This window comes from Homo sapiens, chromosome 2 (genome assembly GCF_000001405.40).
Source record: "Homo sapiens chromosome 2, GRCh38.p14 Primary Assembly".
NCBI classification, from domain to species: Eukaryota; Metazoa; Chordata; class Mammalia; order Primates; family Hominidae; genus Homo; species Homo sapiens.
Window position 1 is genome coordinate 230,939,045 of NC_000002.12, and position 25,507 is coordinate 230,964,551.

The 25,507-nt window shown below is 48.4% G+C and overlaps 1 protein-coding gene and 1 pseudogene across 1 annotated transcript in view, besides 11 other annotated features; one reads left to right on the forward strand and one right to left on the reverse strand.

The window, feature by feature from the left end:
- Positions 1–22,157, reverse strand: part of GPR55 (G protein-coupled receptor 55) — a 53,874-nt gene extending 31,717 nt beyond the window's left edge. Inside the window, exon 1 of the mRNA XM_011512175.4 lies at positions 21,731–22,157. The gene's annotated coding sequence lies outside the window, so the exon portion shown is untranslated. The remainder of the gene's footprint in view (positions 1–21,730) is intronic.
- Positions 415–955: an enhancer, noted in NCBI's record as "H3K27ac-H3K4me1 hESC enhancer chr2:231804174-231804714 (GRCh37/hg19 assembly coordinates)". NCBI's record gives its function as "activates a minimal SCP1, AML or CMV promoter by ChIP-STARR-seq in naive H9 embryonic stem cells {active_cell/tissue: H9 hESC(naive)}" and the evidence as "EXISTENCE:reporter gene assay evidence [ECO:0000049][PMID:30033119]".
- Positions 956–1,495: an enhancer, noted in NCBI's record as "H3K27ac-H3K4me1 hESC enhancer chr2:231804715-231805254 (GRCh37/hg19 assembly coordinates)". NCBI's record gives its function as "activates a minimal SCP1, AML or CMV promoter by ChIP-STARR-seq in naive and primed H9 embryonic stem cells {active_cell/tissue: H9 hESC(naive and primed)}" and the evidence as "EXISTENCE:reporter gene assay evidence [ECO:0000049][PMID:30033119]".
- Positions 3,345–3,394: an enhancer, noted in NCBI's record as "active region_17260". NCBI's record gives its function as "activates an Ori minimal core promoter by ATAC-STARR-seq in GM12878 lymphoblastoid cells {active_cell/tissue: GM12878}" and the evidence as "EXISTENCE:reporter gene assay evidence [ECO:0000049][PMID:35858748]".
- Positions 4,325–4,534: an enhancer, noted in NCBI's record as "active region_17261". NCBI's record gives its function as "activates an Ori minimal core promoter by ATAC-STARR-seq in GM12878 lymphoblastoid cells {active_cell/tissue: GM12878}" and the evidence as "EXISTENCE:reporter gene assay evidence [ECO:0000049][PMID:35858748]".
- Positions 4,845–5,064: an enhancer, noted in NCBI's record as "active region_17262". NCBI's record gives its function as "activates an Ori minimal core promoter by ATAC-STARR-seq in GM12878 lymphoblastoid cells {active_cell/tissue: GM12878}" and the evidence as "EXISTENCE:reporter gene assay evidence [ECO:0000049][PMID:35858748]".
- Positions 7,558–7,717: an enhancer, noted in NCBI's record as "active region_17263". NCBI's record gives its function as "activates an Ori minimal core promoter by ATAC-STARR-seq in GM12878 lymphoblastoid cells {active_cell/tissue: GM12878}" and the evidence as "EXISTENCE:reporter gene assay evidence [ECO:0000049][PMID:35858748]".
- Positions 11,015–11,064: an enhancer, noted in NCBI's record as "active region_17264". NCBI's record gives its function as "activates an Ori minimal core promoter by ATAC-STARR-seq in GM12878 lymphoblastoid cells {active_cell/tissue: GM12878}" and the evidence as "EXISTENCE:reporter gene assay evidence [ECO:0000049][PMID:35858748]".
- Positions 11,275–11,344: an enhancer, noted in NCBI's record as "active region_17265". NCBI's record gives its function as "activates an Ori minimal core promoter by ATAC-STARR-seq in GM12878 lymphoblastoid cells {active_cell/tissue: GM12878}" and the evidence as "EXISTENCE:reporter gene assay evidence [ECO:0000049][PMID:35858748]".
- Positions 11,535–11,584: an enhancer, noted in NCBI's record as "active region_17266". NCBI's record gives its function as "activates an Ori minimal core promoter by ATAC-STARR-seq in GM12878 lymphoblastoid cells {active_cell/tissue: GM12878}" and the evidence as "EXISTENCE:reporter gene assay evidence [ECO:0000049][PMID:35858748]".
- Positions 11,715–11,774: an enhancer, noted in NCBI's record as "active region_17267". NCBI's record gives its function as "activates an Ori minimal core promoter by ATAC-STARR-seq in GM12878 lymphoblastoid cells {active_cell/tissue: GM12878}" and the evidence as "EXISTENCE:reporter gene assay evidence [ECO:0000049][PMID:35858748]".
- Positions 18,496–19,035, forward strand: COX20P2 (COX20 pseudogene 2; annotated as a pseudogene).
- Positions 18,524–18,623: a silencer, noted in NCBI's record as "silent region_12422". NCBI's record gives its function as "represses an Ori minimal core promoter by ATAC-STARR-seq in GM12878 lymphoblastoid cells {active_cell/tissue: GM12878}" and the evidence as "EXISTENCE:reporter gene assay evidence [ECO:0000049][PMID:35858748]".

Sequence of the window (25,507 nt, forward strand, 5' to 3'; positions counted from 1 at the left end):
CGAGATGGAGACTGAAGAGGCCGACTAGCCAACAATGAGCACTCGCCGCAACCTACCCTAGACTTCTCCTTTGTCCCTGCAGCCCTGGGGCCTAGGCTGAGCACAGAGAACCAAGAGCTCAGCTTTGCCCCCAGCAGGCAGAAGGGCTGTGGAGTTCTGGGGGGGCAGGGCTCTTTCCGGTGGCTCCGAGGAGCTGTGCCATTGATCTCCTTACTGGGGTGGGCATGGCACAGCTCTGCCCGCAGTCAACCCTGTCTGAGATGCTGGTGCCTGGGGGAGCTGGGAGATGTCACAGGCCATAGAAAGAAGGGAGGGTCTTCAAGGGTGGGGCAGTTTGGAGCCAGGCAATGACAAGCCTTAGATGCTTCCCAGGGAAGTTTCCAAACCAGAAGGGGTGACAGTGGTCTGGGGGTGTTCTTCTCGGAAGTGGCCCATTTTGTTGCCCTGAGAAGTTGGCATCTCCTGGGCTGCCCAGCTCCCTGGGCTGCAAGAGCTGGAATCTCATACCACTGGCTCCCTAGACATGCATGGGGGAGTCTTCTAGAGCACCTGAGCAGGAGGCCAGAGGATTCACAACCCCTAAGGAAAGGTGTCTGTGGGTCTCTGGCAATAACAGGGCCGTGTCCATGTAACACTGGAGAAGGGGGAGAGCCTGGCGTGCAGGCCAGTGCTTGCTCTAAAGGGAACAAGGAGCCCGGGTAGAACCAGGTGAGGAGATAGTGTGGAAGTTGAACGGCCAGCCGGCATCCCCAGGCACGATGGGTGGAGGAAGTCCTTGTTTCGGGAGGAAGCCAGTGCCACCATCCCTCCCCACCCAGGGGCAAGCAGGCTGCAGCGGGGAGAGACAGTCACAGGCTGAAGAGACATCATACCCCTGGGAGACAGGGGTGTGTTGGCGGGGGCGGGGACAGCTAATCCTCCCACCCCAGGCATCTCCTTGGCCTGCCACTGCCACCCCCAGTAGGCCCAAAGTGTCCTGCCAGGCACCAGAAAGAGCCAGTCCTCCCATCCCTGAGCTACGTGGCCCCCCTGGAGTCCTGCGATGCTGGGACCTGAAGGGTGGATGCAAATGGCTTGGGGCAGCTACAGCCTCCCAGGGGCAGGCGGGAGGCCCTTCAGCCTGCACCTGGACCAGAGCCCAGCAGCCAGATGGAGAAAGCGAGGAAGGGGGCTAACCGCTCATGGGGTCTCAGTGGGGGCGGCGCTTACACAGCCACCTCCCTCCTGGCACCCACCCTTGGCATTAAAATTCAGAGCTCAAGGCTGGGGTTTCCTGACAGGCTGCGTTCTCTTCATAATCATCTGCAGATTCAAGGCCATCAGTGGGAGGGGTCCAGGCTCCCCAGGCCCAAAACTGCTGTGAATTCTGAAGCAGCCCCCTGAAGATAGTGGAAGGTGTCTCCAGAGCATGAACTCGTCCTGCAGGAAGGCGCTTATCAAGACTGAGAAGTCTGCAGGGGCCGAAGACAGCGTCATTCTGGACCCTGACACACACCAGGCTGTGCTTAGGGAGGAGCCAGTCCACACTGTGCCTCCTTAGAGTGGGCAGCACCCTGTGCCCTGTTTGTGAGCTCTCAGGGGTCACTGGGCCAGGATTCACAGCACCTGCCTCCCTGGGGGCCCATGCTGCTGCTGGGTGGCCGCCTCGCCCCAGCTGGGCAGGTCGAAGAGTATGAAAGTGCTGCCTGCGTTTCTGGCCAGTCCAGGCTTTCCTTGCCTGCCCTGGGTGGGAAACGGGAGTATCCCTGGCTGCACCGGGGCCTGCAGGGAGGAATTAAGAAGGGGTTGGAGACCAGGCATGGTGGCTCATGCCTGTAATCCCAACAATTTGGGAGGCCAAGGCGGGTGGATTGCCTGAGCTCAGGAGTTCTAGACCAGCCTGGGCAATACGGTGAAACCCCATCTCTATTAAAATACAAAAAATTAGCCGGACGTGGCGGTGTGCACTTGTAGTCCCAGCTACTCAGGAGTCTGAGGCAGGAGAATTGCTTGAACCCAGGAGGCGGAGGTTGCAGTGAGCCAAGATGGCACCACTGCACTCCAGCCCGGGCGACAGAGCAAGACTCCATCTCCAGAAAAAAAAAAGAAAAGAAGGGGTTGGAGGGCCTGATGCCTGGGTGCCTCCAGGCTCAGAGAGAACCCTCTAGATGCTCTGTCCAGCACCCCACAGGAGCCCACGGCCACTCCCAGGGAGGCTGCAGGAGTGCGGTCCTGACCTGGCTGGCTGCTGGTGGCCAGCGCAGCTGCCCTCTGAGTGCCCAGAGTCCACAGTGAGCAGGGCCCTTTGCTGGAAGAAAGACAAGCACCAGAAGTCCCCCAGACTGAGCATAGCATTTGAACCTGAACCCAGGGTGGTATCCTGGGGGGCCTGCCCCCGCTCCCAGACCCAGGACGCTCAACCTGGGCTCTCCCATGGCCACATGTGTTTCTGCCTCCTCTGCCATGGTGAGCTGTGTGCCCACCACTTCCCACACTCGGTCTCCTGGCCTTCCCTCCCTGGGACCACCACCTACCACCTCGTGACTTTCCTATTTGCGATGCCGTCACCAAGCAGAGCTGGACTGTGGCTGGAGGAAGCTCAGGGACAAATGAGGTCCCAGTCTCATCTCTGGCTCTGGGTCACATCCGCAGTGACTCCCTGTCCTTCAGGTCTCAGGTTGAACGTCACTCCCCCAGGGAGGCCTTCCCTGATCTCCAGCTCAACTCGGGGTCCCCTTTATCAGCTCATGTCATGCCTTCATCTTCCTCCAAAAGTTGTGCTTTTTAAATATCTTAAACATTAAAATATTTCAAGTATTTGTTTGATATCTATTTGCATCTTACATTGTAAGATCTAAGGGATCCTGTCTGCTCTCTTTAAGAAATATTTGATGAGTTATTGACTGATCATTGAGAGATGGCCCTTTGTTCTCCAGCCCAGGGGTCCTGGACATTCTGGGATCCAGAGTGCAGGGGAGCCTGATGCCCGGGGTAGTGGCCCCCTCTGAGCTACCCTCCCTGTGATGGGGGCTATACTGGGCCTTTTCTTTTCTGAGCAATTTCAGAAAACATTTTGAGATTAAAGTGAATGTGACACAGACCAGAAGGGGCAGGAAGGACACTGTCAGAACCAACAGAACAGCAAGAATACGTTCAGAGGGGCCACCCCCACACTCACACTCCAGGGCTGGGCAGACCCCTGAGAATGCCAGAAGATCACAGAAAGGGGGCCCAGGACAGAGGCAAGGGCCTGCCTCCTTCTTCTGCCTCCTTCTCCTGCCTCAGCCGGGCCTCCTGGCCCTGCCTCCCTCAGGGAGTGTCCCCAGCAGAGCAGCTGAGAGAGAGAATTACTTAGTCCTCAGGGGCAGGAGTCCCAGACCAACCCCACAAGGGACCCAGCCACTGCCCTCCAGCCTCCATTCCCCACTCAGGCCCCCAGGACGTTTTGCAGGAAGGGCCAATGGAGGGCAGGTGGAAGAGGCAGGTGTGGGGGGAGAGCGGCAGGGGGCAGTAGAGCATCTGCCCTGGTGGCTGGAGGCCAGAGAAAGGCCAAAAGGGAGGTCAATGGCACAGGAGGAGTGAAGAGCAGAGAGGGAGGCCAAGCCAAAAGAGCAGAGGGAGGGTGGGCCATGGGGGAAGGGACTTCAGGGGGCTGCAGGGTGGCAGGGTCCAAAGGCCAGGGGCAGCCAGTGGGAGATGGGAGCTTGGCTGTTTGAGAAGGGCCCGATGGGGAGGGTGGGCACCAGACCCAGAAGAAGGAACCCCCCACTCTCCACCCCCACCCCCATCCACAAGAATGGGGTAAGGGGGAAGAGACACGGAAGGGGCAGGAGAAGGGGCAGGCTAGGGAGAGCTGGGTGAAAGCAGACCAATTTTTCCTTCATCATTGCCAATGAACAGAGTGAGAGCACGACCCTGGGGCTCTGAAGTCAGAGTTCCATCCTGCTTCTGTTCCCCTAGGATTTGTCCTTGTGACCTGAAGAGAAGAGAAGAGAAGAGAAGAGGAGAGAAGAGACGAGAAGAGGAGAGAGGAGGGAGAGAGAAAAGAGAGAGAGAGGAGAGAAAGAGAGAGAGAGGAGAGAAAGAGAGAGAGAGGAGAGAGAGAGCGCTCTCTGTAGCACAACTGTGCCCATTGTAGAGAGGTGGAAACTGAGGCCCCAGCAGAGGCCATCCCGGGCAGTGCTTGGACTAGAGCCAGGTCAAGGCCCATCTACATCCGGAGCCATCCCCTGTTAGCAGGACAGCATCCTGGCTGGCTCCCCGCCCCCAGACTGCCCGAGAGCTTGGCTGGCTATTGCCTTCCAGAGCAGCCCCTCCTTCCTGTGCACCTCCTCTCCTCTCCCACTAGCCAGCCCCTCCGTGGAGGGCCAAGAAGCCCAGCCAGCCCTGGGCATGGGTGCTAAGAGATGTCTGGGCTCAGGAATTTCCTGGCAGGAGCAGCAGTGCCCATGTTTGTCTCCGGGCATCCCCAGCTGGGGGGCCAAGCAAGAGAGGCAACAATGCCAGAGTAGGTCACGGAGCAAGAGCCTGGAGAGCTAAGAGCTATCCCCGTCCAGGGTCTGATGGAGTTTGGGTGTTGTCCCCTCTAAATCTCATGTTGAACTGTCATCCCCAGTGCTGGAGGCGGGGCCTGGTGGAGGGGGTTGGATCATGGGGGTGGATTTCCCATGAATGATCTTGCGCCCTCCCCTTGGTGCTGTCCTCTCAGCAGCGAGTTCCTTCTTGCGAGATCTGGCTGTTTGAAAGTGTGCGGCACCTCCCCACCCCTCCTCTGCTCCCACTCTGGCCATGTGAGATGCCGCTTCCTCTTCGCCTTCTGCCAAAATTGCAAGCAAGGTCTCATCAGAAGCAGGGCAGATGCCGGCACCACACTTCATATAAAGTCTACAGAACAGTGAGCCAATTAAACCTCTTTTCTTTATAAATTATCCAGCCTCAGGTATTTCTTTATAGCAACATAAGAATGGCCTAACACAGGGTCTGTCTTAGGAAGGGGCCCTCGGGCTGTCCCTCTTCTCCCTGGCCCTAGCCCAGGAGGAGGACCAGCAAGAGTAGTGAAGTGAGAAGCCTCTCCATGAAGATGCCTTCTGCCATTCATTACACACACAACAGCATCTTGGTCCCAGATGCCGGGTCCCAGAGAGGACCTCAAGGAGACTTCCCAGGAAATTACCCACCACTGGACATTGGACAGGGCAAAGCTGTGGTGTGGAAAGGGGCAAATCCACATCCCTCCAACGTGTGCCCACATGACTGTCCCGGGGGCTTCCATGAGCTTGATGACCCAGAAGCTATGGTCCTGCACACGTGAGTCTGTGACCTGACAGCTGTGCCTGCTTCACCAGTGTAGAGACTTGGATCCCCAGGCAAACCCCAGAAGTGTGGAAGGGAAGGGGAGAAAGCCTGTGGAGGGAGGTGGAGGAGCCGTGGTTTCCAGTAACCATCGCTGGTTAGTTCAGAGGGAAATGTCCACAACAGAGATGACTGTGACACCCGGCACAAGATTTAATTCTCAGAGTGAAAACGAGAATGCCGTGTCTCTGGGAGCCCCCGGAGAATGACTCAACAGTGACGTCCTACAGCATGATTTGCTTTAACTGAAGGTGAAGAGAATCTTTCAGGAGTGGAGAGAATATAACTGAATGCTTTGTCACAAATTTACTTTGATCTCATGTACCCCGTAAATACAGACACCTACTATGTACCAGAAAAATTAAAAATAAAAATAACAAATTCACATTCCGCTTGTTCATCCTGATTCTTCAGGCCTGGCCACGGTATCAAAGACAAGGAAGGCCCATTGCCTGCCCTCATGCTGGTTGTTCAGCCCTCCAAGAATCATTCTTGATGCCCTGCAAATACCAGGCGCTGCGCTAGGCCCTGCAGATGCGACAACGAACGTAGATGCTGTCCCAGCCACCCACACTCGCTGCCGGGGGAAGAACCAGGTAAGGTTCCCGCACATCGCCCTCCATGAAGCAGGAGCAGGAGCCTCACTGCGGGGCTGGGAGCTGCCTTCCTTCCTCCCACCAGCCTCTAGGGGAAGGATTTGTGTCTGCTGGCCCTCCTCGGTAGTAACAAATTCTGGTGGTGGACAAAGCAGATAGAAGACTACAGAAGACAGACAGGCTAAGGTGATCTGCGCAAAAAGATGGCGGCGGGGGAGAGGAAAGGCAATTCCCAGAATGAAGCGGGGACGTGGGTGGCGAGTGTGTGGTTGGGATTTGAGGTGGAAAGAGGCTGAGAGAGGACTGAGTTCCGGGAGGCAGCTGCCTCCTGCATGGAGGCCTTTCCAAGGGCAAGCGCTGGATAGAGGATTCCAATTATTTGCTGTGCATTGAGAATGCACTCCCAATGACCCAGTTTTTCCAACAAATCAATGACATGAAAAGGAAAGGGGAAAAAAAAAGGGGTGACTTGGAAAGAATGCAACCCGCGCCCTTATTTGAGCCCTGATTTGAACAAACCAGCCATAAAAAGACAGTTTTGACACAATGGAGGAATCTGAATATGGATTTCGTGGTGGACGATATTACAGATTCACTTTTTGTTGTTGTTGTTGTTTTTGAGACGGAGTCTCGCTCTGTCGCCCAGGCTGGAGTGCAGTGGCACTATCTCGGCTCACTGCAAGCTCCACCTCCCGGGTTCACGCCATTCTCCTTCCTCAGCCTCCCAAGTAGCTGGGACTACAGGCAGGTACCACCACACCTGGTTCACTTTTTGTATTTTTTGTAGAGACGGGGTTTCACCGTGTTAGCCAGGATGGTCTCGATCTACTGACCTCGTGATCCGTCCGCCTCGCCTCCCAAAGTGCTGGGATTACAGGGCTGAGCCACCACGCCCGGTCTACAGATTGACTTTTAATTGTGTTAGCTAAGATAATGGCATGGTAGTTGCATTAAAAAGTGTCCTTTTTATTCACAATAACCAAGATAGGGAAACAGCCTAAGTGTCCATCAGTGGATGAATGGATTAAAAACATATACACAATGAAATATTATTTAGCCATTAAAAAAGGGAATCTTGTCATTTGTGACAACATAAATGAACCCAGAGGGCATCATGCTCAGTGAAATAAGCCAGACTCAGAAAGACACATACTGCATGACCTCACTTATATGTGGAATTTAAAGAAGTCAAAACTCACAGAAGCAGGAAATAGGATGGGAGTTGCCAGGGGCTGGAGGGCTAGGGAGGGTGTGGAAGGGGGAGATGTTGGTCAAAGGTGTTTCAGTTAAGAGGAATACGTTCTGGAGATCTATTGTATATAATAGCATGGTGACTGTAGTTAATAGTTCTGTATTGTAAACTTGGAAATTGCTACAAGAGTAAATTTGAAATGTTCTCACCACACACACACAAAAAAGATAACTGTGTGATCGATGGATGTGTTCATTAGCTTGATTTAATCATTTCCCAGTGTATACATATATCAAAATTTCACACTGTTCATCATTCACATATCCAATTTTTGTCACGTGTACCTTAACAAAGCTGAGGACCGGAGAGTGTGGAGAAAAAAGTGTCCTCATCAGAAGAGATGCACCCTGTAGTATTAGGCCAAGATGCCACGAGGTCAGTGTAAGTGGTGGAGGGTAGAGATCAATGAACTAGAGATCAGTGAAATGACGCTGGCAGAAGCTGATGGTTGTGGAAGCAGGGTGTCCCAGTAGCATGGGACAAGTTCCCACTGCAGCCCACACCTGGACCAGGCCATAGCTGGGGCCAAGTTTCCACTCTGGCAGAGCTGGAAGAAAGCAGGCCCAGCCCATCAGACCTTTTAGGGACCTCCAGGGCCTAACTGGGGCAGGGGCCAGGGCAAGGCAGCTGTGGCTGGGGGTGCTCATGTGGTTCTTTAGGACTCCACTGAGGTTCTTTGAGACACACACCAAACTAGAGAGCAGAACATCTTAATCACATCATATTTTAGTGAACCCCAAAAAGTAAATAAGAATTGGCATAGGTTCATGCTGAACTAACCCTATTGCTCATTTCCTATGTTTGACTTCAGTGTATTCAACTTTCTGACGGCCCTGTCACATTGGCCACACCACAGACCCACGCCTTCCATTCCTTCATCATGCCCAAGCCAGAAAGAGCCATTAGCTGACAAATCGCTCCTTTCCACTATGGGTGTGGGAACCTGCCTGGCTGCCAACAACCCAGTTTGTGTATCAGTCTCCCCTTGGTCAGCACCACCAGAGTTTTGTTGGTTATGGGGCGATCTTACTGAAGTTGGTTAGGTGTGCTGCAGCAGCAAAGCTGGAGCCTGCCAGCTGCACCTTGGACGTGCACCAGCCAACTGGGCTCCAATGCAAAGGGCAAGAGCACGATGAAAGAGCACATTTGCAATCCTAGAAGATTGCATCTAAGTTGCAAGGTATAATTGGGACCCTGGTTACATTTTTAGCTCAGGGGAATAAAGCCCATCCCATACTCTCCACTCCAGTAGGGAGTGTCTGTTGGTCAACTTTATGACCTTTTTTTTTTTTTTTTTTGAGACAGGGTCTCACTCTGTCTCTCAGGCTAGAGTGCAGTAGCCCAATCATAGCTTACTGCAGCCTCGACATCCCAGGCTCAAGCAATCCTCGTGCCTCAGCCTCCCACGTAGCTGGGACCACAGGGGCACACCACCATGCCAGGCTAATTTTTAACTTTTGTAGAGACTAGGTCTTACTATATTGCCCAGGATGGTCTCGAACTCCTGGGCTCAAGCAATCTTCTCACCTCAGCCTCCCAGAGTGCTGGGATTACAAGTGTCGACCACCACATCCAGCCTTTTAGTGCTATTTTTTAAAGTACCATTGTGTTCAACTTCAGCTGGTGCCCCCCCTCCAACTCCTAACATAGCCTGCACCCAGCTACAGCGAGGCTTCCTAAAATACAAATCTGGCCCTGTCCTACCTAAGCAGAAACTCGGCATCCCGCCTCACCAGGCCACGGTGGCTTTGGTGTCTGTCAAGCTCCCCATCAGTGGATGAAGCCTGCAGTGCCCGCCCGGCTCCTTTGTGACATGGGTGTGGCCACTGACTTCAGTTCTCTCCAAGAGGTCTTGGGTGCTGCAGTTGCCACCGCCGCCCACCCCCTGGCCGCCCCCACAGCTTCCTCCCTTGGTGAGGCAAAGCACAGCCCCTATGCTTGGTCTGTGTCTCCCGCAGGCCTCTGACAACAGCTGCTTAGGAGAGCTTTCTCAGTCAGCACTGAAAGGGAACTTAGAACCAGCTGAGCTATCAGCCCCTCCAGGCCTGACTTCCCCACTCAGAGCCTCCCCCACTCCTTCCTCCCTCCCCATCTCCTGACCTCTGGGTCTGGGTGGCTGCTCTCCACACACCTCCCAACCGCACTGACCTGGGGAAGCAAGACAGATTCAACAGTCCTGATTTTTGTTTTCACTAATTGCAAAATAATAATAATAGTAATAAATAAATCAAAATAAACCAAAAAGAGAAGGAAAAATTCTCCCATAGTCCCTACCCTATATATGGAATAGAACCTACTTTCTCTCGTTGCCTTTGAGGCTTTGTTTCCAGGCAGAGCCAGCATGACATTGGCAGGCATGGTGAAGAGTCAGTTATATAATTCGGATTTTTTCACTTAGAGCTGTAGATATTCCTTCCATGCCAGTGCAGAGTCTTCATCATTATCCTTTTAAACCACATAATATTCTATTAAATGTATATGCCAGCATTTATTTAACCATTCCCCAATTATAGGTCATTTAGGAAGTTTTTCCTTCCTTTGGGAATTATTGTTTTAAAATATATTCCCTGAGGGTTGGGCGAGGTGGCTCACGCCTGTAATCCCAGCACTTTGGGAGGCAGGGGCAGGAGGATTGCTTGAGCTCAGGAGTTTGAGACTAGCCTGGGAAACATTGGGAGACCCTATCTTTACAAAAAATAGTCCGGTTTGGTGGCGTGCGCCTGTAATCCCAACTCCTCGGGAGGCTGAGGTGGGAGGATAATCTGAGCCAGGGGGGTCAAGGCTGCAGTGAGCTGGGATGGTGCCACCGCACTCCAGCCTTGGCAACAGACTGAGACCCTGTCTCAAAAAATAAAATTAATAAATATAAAATATAGTCCCCAAAGAGGAATCACTACATCAACAGGCCCTAATGCTTTTATGGCTCTTTTTTTGTTTGTTTGTTTGTTTGTTTTCTTTGAGACGGAGTTTCACTCTTCCACCCAGGCTGGAGTGCAATGGCGCAATCTCAGCTCACTGCAACGTCTGTCTCCCGGGTTAAAGCGATTCTCCTGCCTCAGCCTCTCGAGTAGCTGGGATTACAGGCACCTGCCACCACACCCAGATAATTTTTGTATTTTTAGTAGAGACGGGGTTTCACCATGTTGACCAGGCTGGTTTCGAACTCCTGAACTTGCGATCTGCCCGCGTTGGCCTCCCAATGTGCTGAGATCACAGGCGTGAGCCACCGCGCCCATCCTGCTTTTAAAGTTCTTGATAGCTATTGTAAGATTGCCTTCCTGGGAAGAATGGGGTGGATTCCATCAATTCCCCGGCCTAGATCAGCACTTCTCAAAGTGTGGCTCAGGCACTCTGTGGGGAAGGGTGGTCTTGGGACACTTTCTGGGGATCCACAAGGTCAAAACTATTTTCATAATAATACTGAAATGTTGTTAGTATTTCCTTTTCCACTGTCTTCCTTTAGTGAGTGTACAGTGGAGTTTTCTGGAGGCTGTATGCTGTGTGATACCACAATAGACTGAATAGAGATAGGAGAGGCCAACCATCTTTCATAAAGCCCAGCATCACAGAGATCTGTGGAAATGTAAAAATAATGCTTCTCTTCTCACTAAATTTATTTTTTTTTTTTGAGACAAGAGTCTCGCTCTGTCACCCAGGCTGGAGTACAGTGGCACAATCTCGGCTCACTACAACCTCCGCCTCCCGGGTTCAAGCAATTCTCTGCCTCAGCCTCCCAAATAGCTGGGATTACAGGCAACCACCACCACGCCTGGCTAATTTTTCTGTATTTTTAGTAGAGACGGGGTTTCACCATGCTGGCCAGGCTGAACGCCTGACATCGTGATCCACCCTCTCGGCCTCCCCAAGTGCTGGGATTACAGGCGTGAGCCATCACGCCCAGCCAGTTTCTTTGTTTTAATTTCTAACACAGGAAACACTGATAGATATCTACATAGATAAGAGCTTTTTGAGATCCTTAACACTTTTTAAGAGTGTAAAGGGGTCCTGAAGCCACATTGTCTGGGAACCACTGGCCTGCACATGATGTGGCAGAATGCAGAGTGTGCTGGACAGACCTTGTTCAGCCCATCGCCTACCTGCCTGTCTCCCAGGCATGGCACCCAGGACAAGACGCAGAGCAATTAGAGCAATTGGCTTTTTTGTCTTTTTATCTCTTCTTGCCACTTTTATTTTCTTCTCATCTTCTCTTTCCCCTCTTTTTTGTTTTTCTCGTTTTGCTCTTCTTTCCCGCACTCCAGCCTCAGACCTCATAACGAGAGCTGCACAGATAAGGAAACCTTCTCTGCTTCACATAAGTCAAACATTTTTTCTCACATCTAAATAGAGATTCGCGACACTGGAAATAGGTTTTTCATTATTACTAATATCATTCACAAGAAGTGACATGTGTGGTGTTATGATAAGTACACACGTGTTGGCTTTTGTCCACAGTTTCTGGCTCGGAACCCCCATAGTCCCTGTTACAGTCTCGTGTTATGACAGTGGCTGTGTTAGGCCTCAGGAAACAGAATCTCTCTGGCCTTCTCCAGCTCTCCTTTCACCTGCCGCAAGGCAGGACTCGTATCTTCCCCCGCCTTTCTGATTGTGGGTCTTAAGACTCTCCCCAGAGAGGGTTCTGTCCTATGCCCTGAGAGAAGGAACGCTGACATCATGAAGCTTCCATAAAAACCCCAAGAGGACAGGGTTCAGAGAGCTTCCGGAGAGCTGAGCACACGGAGGTTCCTGGAAGCTCCATGCCCCTTCCCCTATACCTTGCCCTGTGCATCTCTTCATCAGTGTCCTTTGTAACATCCTTTAGAATCAACGGGCTAATGTGTTTCCCTGAGTTCTGTGAGTCACTCCAGCAAATTGATCAAACCCAAAGAGGGCGTTGTGGGAACCCCAACTTGAAGTTGGTCGGTCAGAAGTTCCGAAGGGCCAGACTTGTGTCTGGGTCAGGGATAGTCTTGGGACTGAGCCCTCAACCTGTGGGCTGTAAGACTATCTCCAGGTAGACAGTGTTGGAATTGAACTGGAGGACACCCCGCTGCTGTCCGCGGCTTAGTGGGACAACCCCCCACACATCTGGTCCCAGAATTCTCCTTCTGTGTTGATGATTGTTGTCGTGGTGGTGTGAGAACAGAGGAAAAACATGGTTTGGGAGTGTTTCCCTGAAACAATATGCATATTTTTAAAATATACACACGTAATCAAAGAACTAAAAATGAAAATGAGATTTTTTCATACCAACTTGGCAGAGATTTATTAGATGGCAATGCTTAGTGCTGGCAGATGTCTAGGGAAGAGGGCAGCCTATGTGGTTTCTAGAAGGCAACTTGGCAACACATACCAGGGGCCTTAAAAATAGCCTACCCTTTGACCCAGAGGAGTTCAAAAGGCTGACAGCTCCGCTTTGTACCATTCACAACTTAGAGTTGGCTGGGATCTTGACAACTGAGGGTAAGCAGGGATTTTTTTCCCTTTCATTAGGCCCAGAGAAGGTACATTTGTGGGTTTTTTGTTGTTATTGGGGTTTTTTTTTTTTTTTTTTGTGAGACAGGGTCTTGCTCTGTTGCCCAAGCTGGAGGGCAATGGCACAATCATGGCTCACTGCAACCTTAACATCCTGGGCTCAGATGATCCTCTTACCTCAGCCTCCTGAGCAGCTGGGACTACAGGTACATACCACCAGGCCCGGCTAATTTTTTTTTTTTTAATTTTTTTGCAGAAACGGGGGTCTTGCTATGTTGCCCAGGCTGGTCTCAAACTCCTGACTCAAACCATCCTCCTGCCTCAAACTCCCAAGTGCTGGGATTACAGGTGTGAGCCACCACATCCAGCAAGAGAAGGTACATTTGGAGAGGGAGGGGGGGTTACTAGACCTCAAAGATAGAGACGACATGGTCACCTGAGCTCTCATCAGGACATGTGGGCAAACCCTCCTGCAGGCAGCAGGCCAAGGCCTATAGGGACAGGGAAAGCCTGAGGGCGGGCGCAGCTTGTGTGCCAGGAGCCACAATCCTGGTGAGCACTTTGGAATGCTCCTTCTATGCTAAAGTGCTCTCTTCTTATGCCCAAGCCTTCAGTAATAATATTGGATTAAAAGGTACTACCTGGTCTTAGCAGGTGTGATCCAGAAGTCAGCTGGAGCCTGGCCGTGCCTTGAACTCTACATGAGGTTGGCTCATTGTGAGCCCAGAGGGCTAAGGAAGGCCACAGCCCTCCGTGGGATGTCCTGTTGTGTGATCTGGGGATGGCCAATGCCCTCCCAAGTTTTCTGCACATTCCCAGGGCAGGGCTGCTGACACCTCTACAGCCTCTGCTTTTCCCATGGTGCCGCTTGTCAGTTACTTGTCTACTCTTCCAGGAGTCCTATAGAGAACCCCTGCCCACAAGGTGTCATGGGCGTTTCTGAAGCTCAGGGACTGCAGAGAGACAGGGAGATTTCACATCACAGAAACACAAGCTTCCATCGGGCATCTGCACAGCTGAAATGGCCCACGGCCACCCTGTCCCCAGGGAACATCCTCAGGCCGGCCCCCACAGGAGCCAGCCTCTTGGAGGCAGGCTTCTCTCACCTTCTGCCTTCCTGGCCCTTCTCTCTCCCCCTCCTCTTTCCTTCCTTCCAGCAGCTGAAGCCTCTGCATGGTGGCCCAGGTGCTGGCCGATGTCTGCGTCCTCTGCTCCGCCATTTGCCCTAACAGTTGCCAAGGTGTTTCCCCAGCTATGAGGACCTCTGCTGCCAGTTGTCACCATGATGTTTTCCTCTGTTTCAGCTGGGCCTTGGGGAATTAGAGTGATACTTGGGTCCATCCTTGGGTGCAGTGGCTAAGGAAGCATGCGCACCCCAGAAAAGCTAGTTCCCAGGTGGCCAGAAGGAAGGAAGGAGAGGTGGCTGGCTAAAGTGACCAGCAGCAACCAGGTGGAGGTGGTGGTTGTGTGGATCCTGGAGCATTGTTAGGGGCTTCTGAGGTGGGCAGAATAATCTCCCCTGTCCCAGTATGTCTAGGTACAAATCTCAAGAACTGGTGAGTATGTTAAATTACATGGCAAATTAAGGTTGTCAATGGAATTAAGGTTGCCAATTATCCTGGATTATCCTGATAGGCCCAATGTAATCACAAAAGTTCTTGAAGGTAGAGAGTAGGGCAGAAGAGACAGAGGGATAGGATGTGAGAAGGACTCAACCCACTGTTACTGGGTTTGAAGACGGAAGAAGGGGCCATGAGCCAAGGGCTGCAGGAAGAACTGGCTCTGGAAGCTGGAAAGACAGAGAAACAGGTTCTCCTCTAGAGCCTCCAGGAGGACACAGTCCTGCCAGCACCCTGATTTTAGCCCAGTGAGACTTGTGTTGGGCTTCTAACCTACAGAACTGTAAGATAATAAATTTGTGTTATTTTAAGCCACTTAATATATGGCAATGTGTTACAGCAGGAAGGGGAAATAAACACATCTTCCCAGACACTATCAGGGGACAAGAACCTGGTAAAACCCTGTACATCCTGTGTCCCTCAGCTGATTATAAGGAGGGCATTAAAGAGCAGGATCTCCTAGGAAACTGGAGAGGCTGGAAGCATCCAGCATACACATCTGTCCAGTGTGGATCTTCTTAAAAACCAGGAGCATGAGTAGGTGTGAGTCTGCACACGGCCAGGAGATGAAGGCTGGCAGTCCCCTCCACCTCCCCGGTCTCCTGGAACCACCTTCCTGGTGGGGGATCCCCAAGGCGAGTCCTCAGCCTGAGAGGCTCCAAGGTCTGATGAGCAGGCCTGTGGAGCAAGCTTATGTTAGCTGAGCTCATTCTGGAAACCACAGCTTCCCACTGGCTTCTGATCAACGGACCTTGTCTTGCCCAGGAAGCCAAATCGTAACAGAGGGCTTCTGAGCAAGTTCCGAGATGCAAAGGTTTCACAGCCCTGGCTATGCAGCCCCGTAATCGTGCCCACAACAGCTGCCCCTGGCATCAGGTGGACCACGTGCATCCTTGCACCTGGTCTCCTTGCCCCTTCCCCTGACACAGTGTAGATGGCACTGCCAACACCCCATCCAAGCCAGAACTTTCTCTGTGTTTCCACAGTGACAGAGCCAAGCCCCTGCTCTGGGCTGGCTATCATTCTGTGTCCTGAAGAGGACTCGGCTTAACTCTCTTCTAGTTCATTTTCTGTTGGATTTAAAGCTTGGCTTTCAGACTTCAGTCTTAGTTCCCTCCTTTCCATGCCACTGGCCGAAGCCTCCCGGCCTTAAACTTTTTATTTTTAATTTTTGTGGGTAATAGTAGATGTATATATTTATGGGGTACATGAGATTTTGATATAGGCATACAATGTGTAATAATCACATCAGGGTAAATGAGGTATCCATCAACTAAAGCATTCATCCTTTGTGTTACAAATAGTCCAGTTATACTCTTTTAGTTATTTTCAAATGTACAATTAAATTATTATTGACTATAGTCACCCTGTTGTGCTATCAAATACTAGATCTTATTTATTCTTTCTGTTTTTTTGTACCCACTAACCAAGGCCAATGATCATTACTTTAATAAATGCTTTCTTGAAGGTGTTAGTGTTTTTTAAGCATTCAATTTAGTTTGTGTTTGGAATTCAAAGTTAGCAAATATGGCTTCCATGCCACTTGCACTCTTTCAAAAAAGTCATGACAGACATCACTAATCAATTACTGTACTCTTTCTCCCTGAGCCTGGAGTGTCCCAGGAATCCTTAATATAGTCTTCTAAGCAATCCTCATCCAACAATTGGAATTGGCAAGTGAAAAGAAACTAACATGTCATCCCTTGATGCAATTACAGTTAGGGACAGAGTCATCTTTTGAATTCCTCCCACTATGTTTATCCCTTTACTATGTGACAGTAATCTGTCACCAAGAGCTAGCATCCCAACTCATATACCATTTCTGTGAAATTATGATCTCCATCTACTTTGAGTGGCAAAGAAAAGAATAATTCACAATCCACTGTTGAAATTTTGTCAGATAATACAAACAACAAATGTTGTTAGCTGTCTAATTATTTTGTGTTATTTCCTTAAGGAAATTTCTCCTCATTTTTACCCAGTAGAAAGGTCTTGACTTCCTATTTTCCATGTCTCCTTGATGTGACAGCATATCTGAGTCCTTGTTATGGGCACACGTGACAGTGCATCAGATGCTCTCAGGAAAGAAAGTGGCTTTCACACAGATTCCTTGCTCACCTTAACATAACTGTACAGAATTCCCACAACACAGACACAGGCTTTTCTCACCTTACATTCTCTCCAGCCTGTTAAGACAGTTCCAGTGACTAAATCTGGTAGCACATTAGCAGTATCACTACTCAAGGGCCTATTAAACATCAGCTCAATGGAAACTTCTTAGAATTGTAAAGCAAATCAAATACAATTCAAATGTAGAGAAGGATTACACTTAAATGGTAGACCATAAAGGAGACTCATATGGGAAAACACAGCCAGAAAAGATTATGCCAGTGTCTTTTTGTTTTGTTTTGTTTTGTTTTGTTTGAGACGGGGTCTCATTCCATTGCCCAGGCTGGAGTGTGCCTGCAGTGGTGTGATCACGGCTCACTGCAGCCTTGACCTCCCGGGCTCAAGCAATCCTCCCACCTCAGTCCCCTGAGTAGCTGGGACTACAGGCGTGTGCCACCACATCTGGCTAATTTTAAATTGTTTTGTAGAGTCAGGGTCTCACTATATTGCCCAGGTTGGTCTCAAGCTCCTGGCCTCAAGTGATCCTCCCTCCTCAGCCTCCCAAAGTGCTGAGATTATAGGCATGAGCCACCATGCCCAACTACACCAGTGTCTTTAAACTAGAGGATTCCTAATTCTCCTTAGGAGAATCCCAATAGCTAGGACAGTGGGAGGTCTTGTTCTAACATTTACCTGAAAGCAGGATTTTATTCCCAAATTTATTTTATTTACTTTATTTATTTATTTATTTATTTATTTGAGATAGAGTCTCACTCTGTTGCCCAGGCTGGAGTGCAGTGGTGAAATCTCAGCTCACTGCGACCTCTGCCTCCTGGGTTCAAGCAATTTTCCTGCCCCAGCCTCCCGAGTACCTGGGACTACAGACATGCACCACCACACCCAGCTAATTTTTTGTATTTTTAGTAGAGTTGGCAGTTTCACCATGTTGGCCAGGCTGGTCTCAAACTCCTGACCTCAAGTGATCCACCCGCCTCCAGCCTCCCAAAGTGTTGGGATTATAGGCATGAGCCACCACTCCTGGCAATCTTTTAATTTTTTTAAATATCAAACTTGCAGAAAAGTTGAAAATCAGTTAAACAAACACCCAATTACCCTTCACTAAATATATATACATTTTTGCTGAAGCGTTTGGAGTAAGTTGCAGACATATGCTCACTTCACCCCTAAATACTTCACCTGCAGCTCCTAAAAGAAGAACATTCCTTACATAACCCAATACCATGATCACAATGAAGAAATTTAACATTTAACATGGATACAATAATATTATCTCATAATCTGTATTTTAAAAAAATCTTTATCTTGCATTTAATCAGGGTTCATGTGTTGTATTTGACTGTTTAATACCTTTTCATCTAGAGCTGTCTCCCTACCTTTTTTCGTCTTTCATGACGTTGACATTCTTGGAGAGCCTAACGGACTATTCTGGAATCTCTATTTGCCTAATTACTGCCTCATGATGTAATTCAGATTAACCTTTTTTTTTTTTTCAGTTCTAAGATCCCCCTGTGGATGCCTGAAACTGCAGAGAGTACCAAGCCTGACTGCCGCCAATCAGAAGTAGTTTCTGTTCAGGTCTTCCACCCACGAATGTAATGCCTTTTTCGTCTTAACTAAGCACTTATCACGCACTGTGGTCATCACTTTTGCAGTCTGAGGTACAACAGCAAAACCAGCACACATTCTTTTTCTTTCTTTACAATTTCAGAATTAGAAATTTTATTCTGACCATAGATTTTTGGCAATCTCAGCAAATGATTTTGTTTCTTGAGAACTTTTGCCTTTTCGCTTAAAGGAAGCACTTGAGGTCTTCTCTTTGGCATATCCGAATTGCTGGCATCACTACGCTTGTGCTTTGGGGACATTATTTAGTAAAATAAGGGTTCCTTGAACACCGGCACTGCGATACCATGACAGTCGATCACTGACGGCCGGTGGTGTCTCCAGCATGGATACGCGGGACAGAGGGATGATTCACCTCCTGAGCAGGATGGAGCGGGACAGCGAGAGATTTCACTGCGCTGCTCAGAACAGCGCGTGATTTAAAACTTGTGAATTTGGGCGGGACGGGGAGGGGCGCGGCTGGCCGGTCTTCCTTCTCCCGCGGCGCCGGCGGTGCTGGGCGGGTGGAGGCGGGGAGTCGTCCCCGTGGCCGCCGCTCCGGAGCCCGGCGAGCCCGCGAAGGGGAAGCTCTTTAAGCTCCTAGGCATTTCAGGTGTTGAAAATATTCCCTGTGCCCGGGATTCAATATTGTATGGTTCATTAGGATCTGTTGTGGCTGGCTTTGGACTTTTTTTTTGTTAACTAGTAGAATTAGAAAATCATGTGATGTTGGAGTAGGAGGATTTATCTTGGTGACTTTGGGATGCTGGTTTCATTGTAGGTATAATTATGCAAAGCAAAGAATCCAGGAAAGAATTGCCAGAGAAGGAATTAAAAATAAGATATTATGTGAAAGTACCCATCTTGATCCTGAAAGAAAAGAAACCAAGGGCAACAGCAGCAATTGAACAATCTTGAGCATAGAAATCAGACTCCCTGAAGTCAGTGTGAACAAAGCTAAGCTCAACCACATAAAACATTTTATGTACAATAAGCTCTCAATCAAGTAAATAAAGTTTAAGTTGTAATAAATAAAGAAAGAAAGGAAGAAAATTTTTGAATTATTTGTGGAGTTTTAAATTTAACATTTTCAGGCTGTGGCTAAAACTCAGGATAGTGAAACCACACATAAGAGAGTACTACTGTTATCACATCAGCAGGCATATAATGTTAGTCTCATTATTTGTAAACCTAACTTTAAAAAATTTTTTTAAATGTTTATGGGTACAATGTAGGTGTATATATTTATGGGATATATGAGATGTTTTGATACAGACATGCAATTGTAAAATCATGGAGAATGGGGTATCCATCCCCCTCAAGCATTTATCCTCTGTGTTACAAACATTCCAATTATACTCTTTTAGTTATTGTTAAATGTTCATTTCAGTTATTATTGACTATAGTCACCCTGTTGTGCTATCAAAAGTAGGTCTTATTCATTCTTTCTATTTGTTGTACCCATTAACCATTCCTACCTCCCTCTGACAGTGCCCCCACCCCTGCAACCACCACCACTCCCCTTCCCACACTCTGGTAACCATCCTAACTGTCTACCTCCATGAGTTCGATTGTTTCCATTTTTAGATCCTACAAGTAAGTGAGAACATGCAATGTTTGTCTTTTATTTTATAAACCTAATTTCGATCATTTAGTTAAGGTGATGTCCAAAAGATCTCTCCACTGTAATTAACACATAATCTGCAAAATGGTAGTTTGGTAATGTGTAAATATCCCATACCCAAGGACCTCTCACCCTATGGCCTTAGCACCCATTGACCATATTTTCTGAATCAGTTATAACGAGGGTCTTTACAAAATAGTGATAATCTATTTCTATCATTCTTTCTATCTTTATTAGCCGGCATTCTTCCATGAAGACAAGCTGAAATCTTGGTTTATAACTGTCATAAATCACATTTCAAGCAGCAGGAACTCTCCCACTGGAAATACAATGAGAAGTACAGTGTGCTGTGTGAGGTCACAGCAGTTCCAAAAATGGAAATCAGCATAGCTTTGGTTCCTACTTTTCTTCCTCCTCCTCACACTTTTTCTCCTCCAGCTGCTCCATTTATCGAATACTTTGTTGCCAGTGTTGTGGTTTAAGGGCTTCCAACAGGCCAGGCACCTAGCTCACGCCTGTAATCCCAGCACTTTGGGAGGCCAAGGTGGGCAGATCACTTAAGCCCAGGAGTTGGAGACCAGCCTGGGCAACATGGTGAAACCCTGTCTTTAGAAGAAAAATTTAAAAATTAGCTGGGTGTAGTGGTGCATGCCTATAGTCCCAGCTACTCAGGAGGCTGAGACAAGAGGATCACCTGAGCCCAGGGAGGTCAAGGCTGCAGTGAGCTGTGATTGCGCCACTGCACTCCAGCCTGGGCAACAGAGTGAAACCCTGTCTCAAAAAAAAAAAAGTTGCTTTACATACATAAAATCATTTAGTTATTCCCAGCAATCCTATGAGGTAGGTGATAGCAGGCCCATTTTTCAGATGAGGAAATTGAAGCGCAGAGAAGCAGCTTGCCCAAGGACGTCCAGTGAGTGACAGACCTTTGAACTCAGATGCATTTGACTTCGAAAGTCATGTTCCTGCCCAGCCACATTCCTAAAGCACTGCATTATTTTTTTTTTTGTATGCACAGAAAACAATCAGAGCAACAGTAATTCTTGATTTTTGTTGATTGCTAAACAACCCTTCATCCTTCTCTCTGAGTATTAGCAATGCAAAAGGCCAGAAGAATTGCATCAAAATAGTGACTATGGGTTTATAGATCATTTTCATTTTTGTCTTTATACACTTACCTGTATTTCCCAAGTTATCTACAATGCACATGCATTGGTTTTGTGAGACAGATATATGAAGTGTTTTTAAAGAGAAATAGGGGTTTGGACATATATTTGACATAGAAGTCAGACTCAGAAAAGCTCTCCCTGGGGGTTGCCCGTCCCTATCAGAGCCTGGATCATAGAGTAGACCCACCAGTACATGCCTGGGCTTAGGTGCTGGCAAGAAGCAATTTAGAAATATATTTGACTTATTCTACACCAAACCAACTGGAGGAAAGAATATAATTCAACTGATGACCCGTTGTCCCAGAGCCTTAATCACAAACTGGCTTTGCACAAGACTCCAGGAAGCTGTCAAGGTCAGGGAAGGCTGAGCCTTGGACCTCAAGTTGCTTACAAAGTGAGCTCAAGACAAAGAAACATACAGGAAACAACTTTTTAGACTGACAAGATAAGAAATGTGCAGTACCAGTATAAGAGGACTGACCATCAGCCAGGAAGGTAAGATACAGAAGTTACTGAGGCTTCCAGTAATTTCTAAAAGGGAAGGCAGAATCATAGACCTGAAAGCCAGTACTCTGAGTTTTTATGATTCTGGGCCTCTGTAACTTTCCTGTGTCTTACTTTTGTTACTCAGATGTTTTCCTATAGTCTTTAGCAAGGAAAAAAAAATACCTTGGGAAGGAGAAAAAGAATTAGTAGGGAGGTAGAATCCCAGTATAAAACCACGAATACTTCTGAATGACAACAAAAAAAAATCACCGTAAGACAGCTCTCACAGTAAAGAGCCTGGACGTCATTACTTCCATTTTTACAAGGAAAAAAGCGAACAAACTGAAAAGCAATAACTTTTCTTAGATTCTGCAGAGAATGGTAGTCACAGGCAAAGCACCCACCCTAAAAATAGAAGAGACAGAGGAATACAGAGAACCACGACTTACCTTCCAGAAGCAGAAGCCACCCAGGAGCCGGCAACTTGTAGGAGCACTTACATGGTACCTGACGAATTGCTGGAGGCTGAGTGTTTGGGCTAGCTTAAGTGTCATAAAGTCCTGGGGTCCCTGTAGTAGGGAAGCCCCACATTTTCCTGGGGTTACCTCCAGGAAGGTCACCAGTTTCTCACTGTGAAGACAGGAGAAAAATCCCCAGGCTTCAGGCAACAGGAGAGGAAAAGTAACCATTTAAAACCATGCCCAGCCGAAAAGTAACCATTTTGAAAGCCCAGAGCATTCTGTTCTCCTTAAGTGTTCTCATCAAAGGACACTGCCTTACCAGGGCCTTATCTGCCCTAGGGGAAGGGCAATGAGATAACTTCAGGCCCCCTCTAGCCTTCCAGTCTCCATCGGGGGAGAAAAAGAGAAAGGCCACAGCAGGGACTTGGCCCACTGAGATTTAATTGTAAGATTACACAATGCCTCCCCTCCCCAGTACCTTATGGTATTAGTTTGCTAGGGCTGCCATAAAATACCACACACTGGGTGGCTGAACCAACAAAGATGTATTGTCTCACAGTTCTGCAGCCCGGAAGTTGTCAGGGCTATGTCCCCTCTGAAGGTGCTGGGAAGGAGCCTTCCTTGCCTCCTAGTTTCTTGTGGTTGCTGGCAATTCTCCGCATTCTTTGGCTTGGAGCTGCTTCATTCCAACTTCTGCCTCTACCATCACATGGCCTTCTCTCTGGAGGAGAGACAAAATTTGACCTCTACCTTACTAGGGCTTTCAGTGGGGCCTGAGAATTAAACAGATGTAGACAGATGAACAGGAGAAGTATACAAATGTATTTAATATAAGATTTATGTGTCATGGGAGCCTTCATAAGAAAATTGTCTTAGTCCATTTTGTGCTGTTATAACAGAATACCACAGACCAGGTAATTTATAAAGAATAGAAATTTATTTCTCACAGTTCTGGCGCCTGGGAAGTTCAAGATCATGGCACCGGCAGGTTCGTTGTCTGGTAAGGGTCCAGACTCTGAGTTCAAGAGGGTGCTTTGAGTGGTGCGTCTTCCCGAGGGGATGAACGCTGGGTCCTCATGCGGTGGAAAGCAGAGTAGGTGATGCTTTTTATAGCATCATTAATTCATTCACGAGAGTGGAGTTCTCATGACCTAAACACCTCCCAACACTGTTGCACTGGGAATTATGTTTCCGATATATGATTTTTGGGGACAACAGACATGAAGACCTTTCAAAAAAAGTAATCAGAGTTAAACATTTATATGCTGAGTTGGGCACAGAATAGTAAAACTGTGAAAATATGATAAGGCAAAGGGGCTTGTACTAGGGTGGTTAATTGGGTAGAAAAGTGACTAGGAAGATAAGGGTCAGGTTAACAAAGTTTGTTTGTGTAGATTTATCTCAGCTTCAACTTTTTGTTCTTGATGATAAAACCTTACTTTCCTCCTGGTATAGGGAAGACATCTTCCATATTGAAGGTTTTATCGTCCTTCCAGGAGGATTTTACCTACCAGGAGGGTTTTGCCTTCCAAGAGGGTTTTATCTCCTGCTTTTAGGAAAAAAAATAGGGAGGGCCAGAGTAACTTCTTAAACCTGCTAGTTAAGTGCCTTTAGTGCAAAATAATCCTTGCATCAGAGTGACACATTTTGGGGTGAAATGTTCTGAATTCCTTCACCTCTGTGTCTTTGTCTCCATGTATCCTCCCCTCTTTTTATAAGACCATGTCATTGGATTTAAGGACCTCTCCAATCCAGCAAGACCTCATCTTAATTTAACTACTTCCATCTGCAAAGACCCTATTTCCAAATAAACTCATATTCTGAGTTTCCAGGTGAACAGGAATTTGGGGGAGACACCCACCCCACATCAACAGGCTCCAACATAATAAAAGTAGACTATAACGGAAAGAGTTATTTAAGATATTTACGTTATTTAAGAGTTCTTGGCTGGGCACAATGGCTGACACCTGTAATCCCAGCACTTTGGGAAGCTGAGGTGGGTGATCACTTGAGGTCAGGCATTCAAGACCAGCCTGTCCAACATGGTGAAACCCTGTCTCTACTAAAAATACAATAGCTGGATATGTTGGTGGGGACCTGTAATCCCAGCTACTCAGGAAAAGCAGGAGAACTGCTTGACCCTGGGAGGCAGAAGTTGCAGTGAGCCAAGATGGCGCCACTGCCCTCCAGCCTGCGCAACAAGAGCAAAACTCCATCTCAAAAAAAATAATAAGAGTTCTCAGGGAAAGTCAAAACAGAAGAGAAAAAAAAATACCTGAAACTAGAGGAAACTAAAGTTTCTGGCACCTACAGCTATAGGAAACATTAAACACGGCCCAGCTACTAGTCAGATTAACATAAAACCTCACACAATAAGGCCGATTTACTTCAGGTCCTACTATCATATACATCATGTCCAGCTTTCAACCAAAATTTCAAAGATATACTAAAAGACAGTTAAAAACTGTCAACCTAAATAACAGAGAAAGGCTCTCTAAAAGAAAAAGATATTTATTCAGGAATAGAGCATTGCAGTGGGAATGTGTGTGCCACAGTAAACTGCATATTCAAGGAGGAAGAATGAGGATTATATTGTGTCCAGAATTGGTGGGTTCTTGGTCTCACTGACTTCAAGAATGAAGCCGGTGACCCTTGCAGTGAGGCATGTCCGGAGTTTGTTCCTTCCTTCTGATGTTCGGACGTGTTTGGAGTTTCTTCCTTCTGGTGGGTTCAGGGTCTCACTGGCCTCGGGAGTGAAACTACAGACTCTCACAGTGAGTGTTACAGCTCATAAAGGCAGTGCAGACCCAATGACTGAGCAGCAACAAGATTTACTGCAAAGAGTGAAAGAACAAAGTTACCACAGTGGAAACAAAGACCCCAGCGGATTACCACTGCTGGCTTGGGCAGCCTTCTTTTATTCCATTATCTGGCCCCACCCACATCCTGCTGATAGGTCCATTTTACAGAGAGCTGATTGGTCTGTTTTACAGAGAGCTGATTGGTCCGTTTTGACAGCATGCTGATTGGTGCATTTACAATGCCTGAGCTAGACAGAAAAATTCTCCAAGTCCCCACTAGATTAGCTAGACATAGAGCACTGCTTGGTGCATTTACAAACCTTGAGCTAGACACAGGGTGCTGATTGGTATGTTTACAAACCTTGAGCTAGACACAGAGTGCTGATTGGTGTATTTACAATCCCTTAGCTGGACATAAATGTCCCCACTAGATTAGCTAGATACAGAGTGCTGATTGGTGCATTTACAAACCCTGAGCTAGACACAGGGTGCTGATTGGTGTGTTTACAAACCTTGAGCTAGATACAGAGTGCTGATTGGTGTATTTACAATCCCTTAGCTAGACATAAAGGTTCTCCAAGTCCCCACTAAACCCAGGAGCCCAGCTGGCTTCACCTAGTGGATCCTGCATCAAGGCCACAGGCGGAGTTGCCCGCCAGTCCCACCGTGCACCCGCACTCCTCAGCACCTTGGGCGGTGATGGGACCCAGAGCCACGGAGGCTCGGGCGGAGCAGGAGCCCACGGAGGTGGGGAGGCTCGGGCATGGCAGGCTGCAGGTCCTGAGTCCTGCCCTGCGGGGAGGCAGCTGAGGACCCGCGAGAATTCGAGTGCAACGTGGGCGGGCCGGCACTGCTGGGGGACCCAGCGCACTCTCTGTGGCTACTGGCCCAGGTGCTAAGCTCGTCACTGCCCAGGACTGGTGGTGGCGGCCGGCCGCTCCTACTGCAGGGCTGCCAAGCCCAC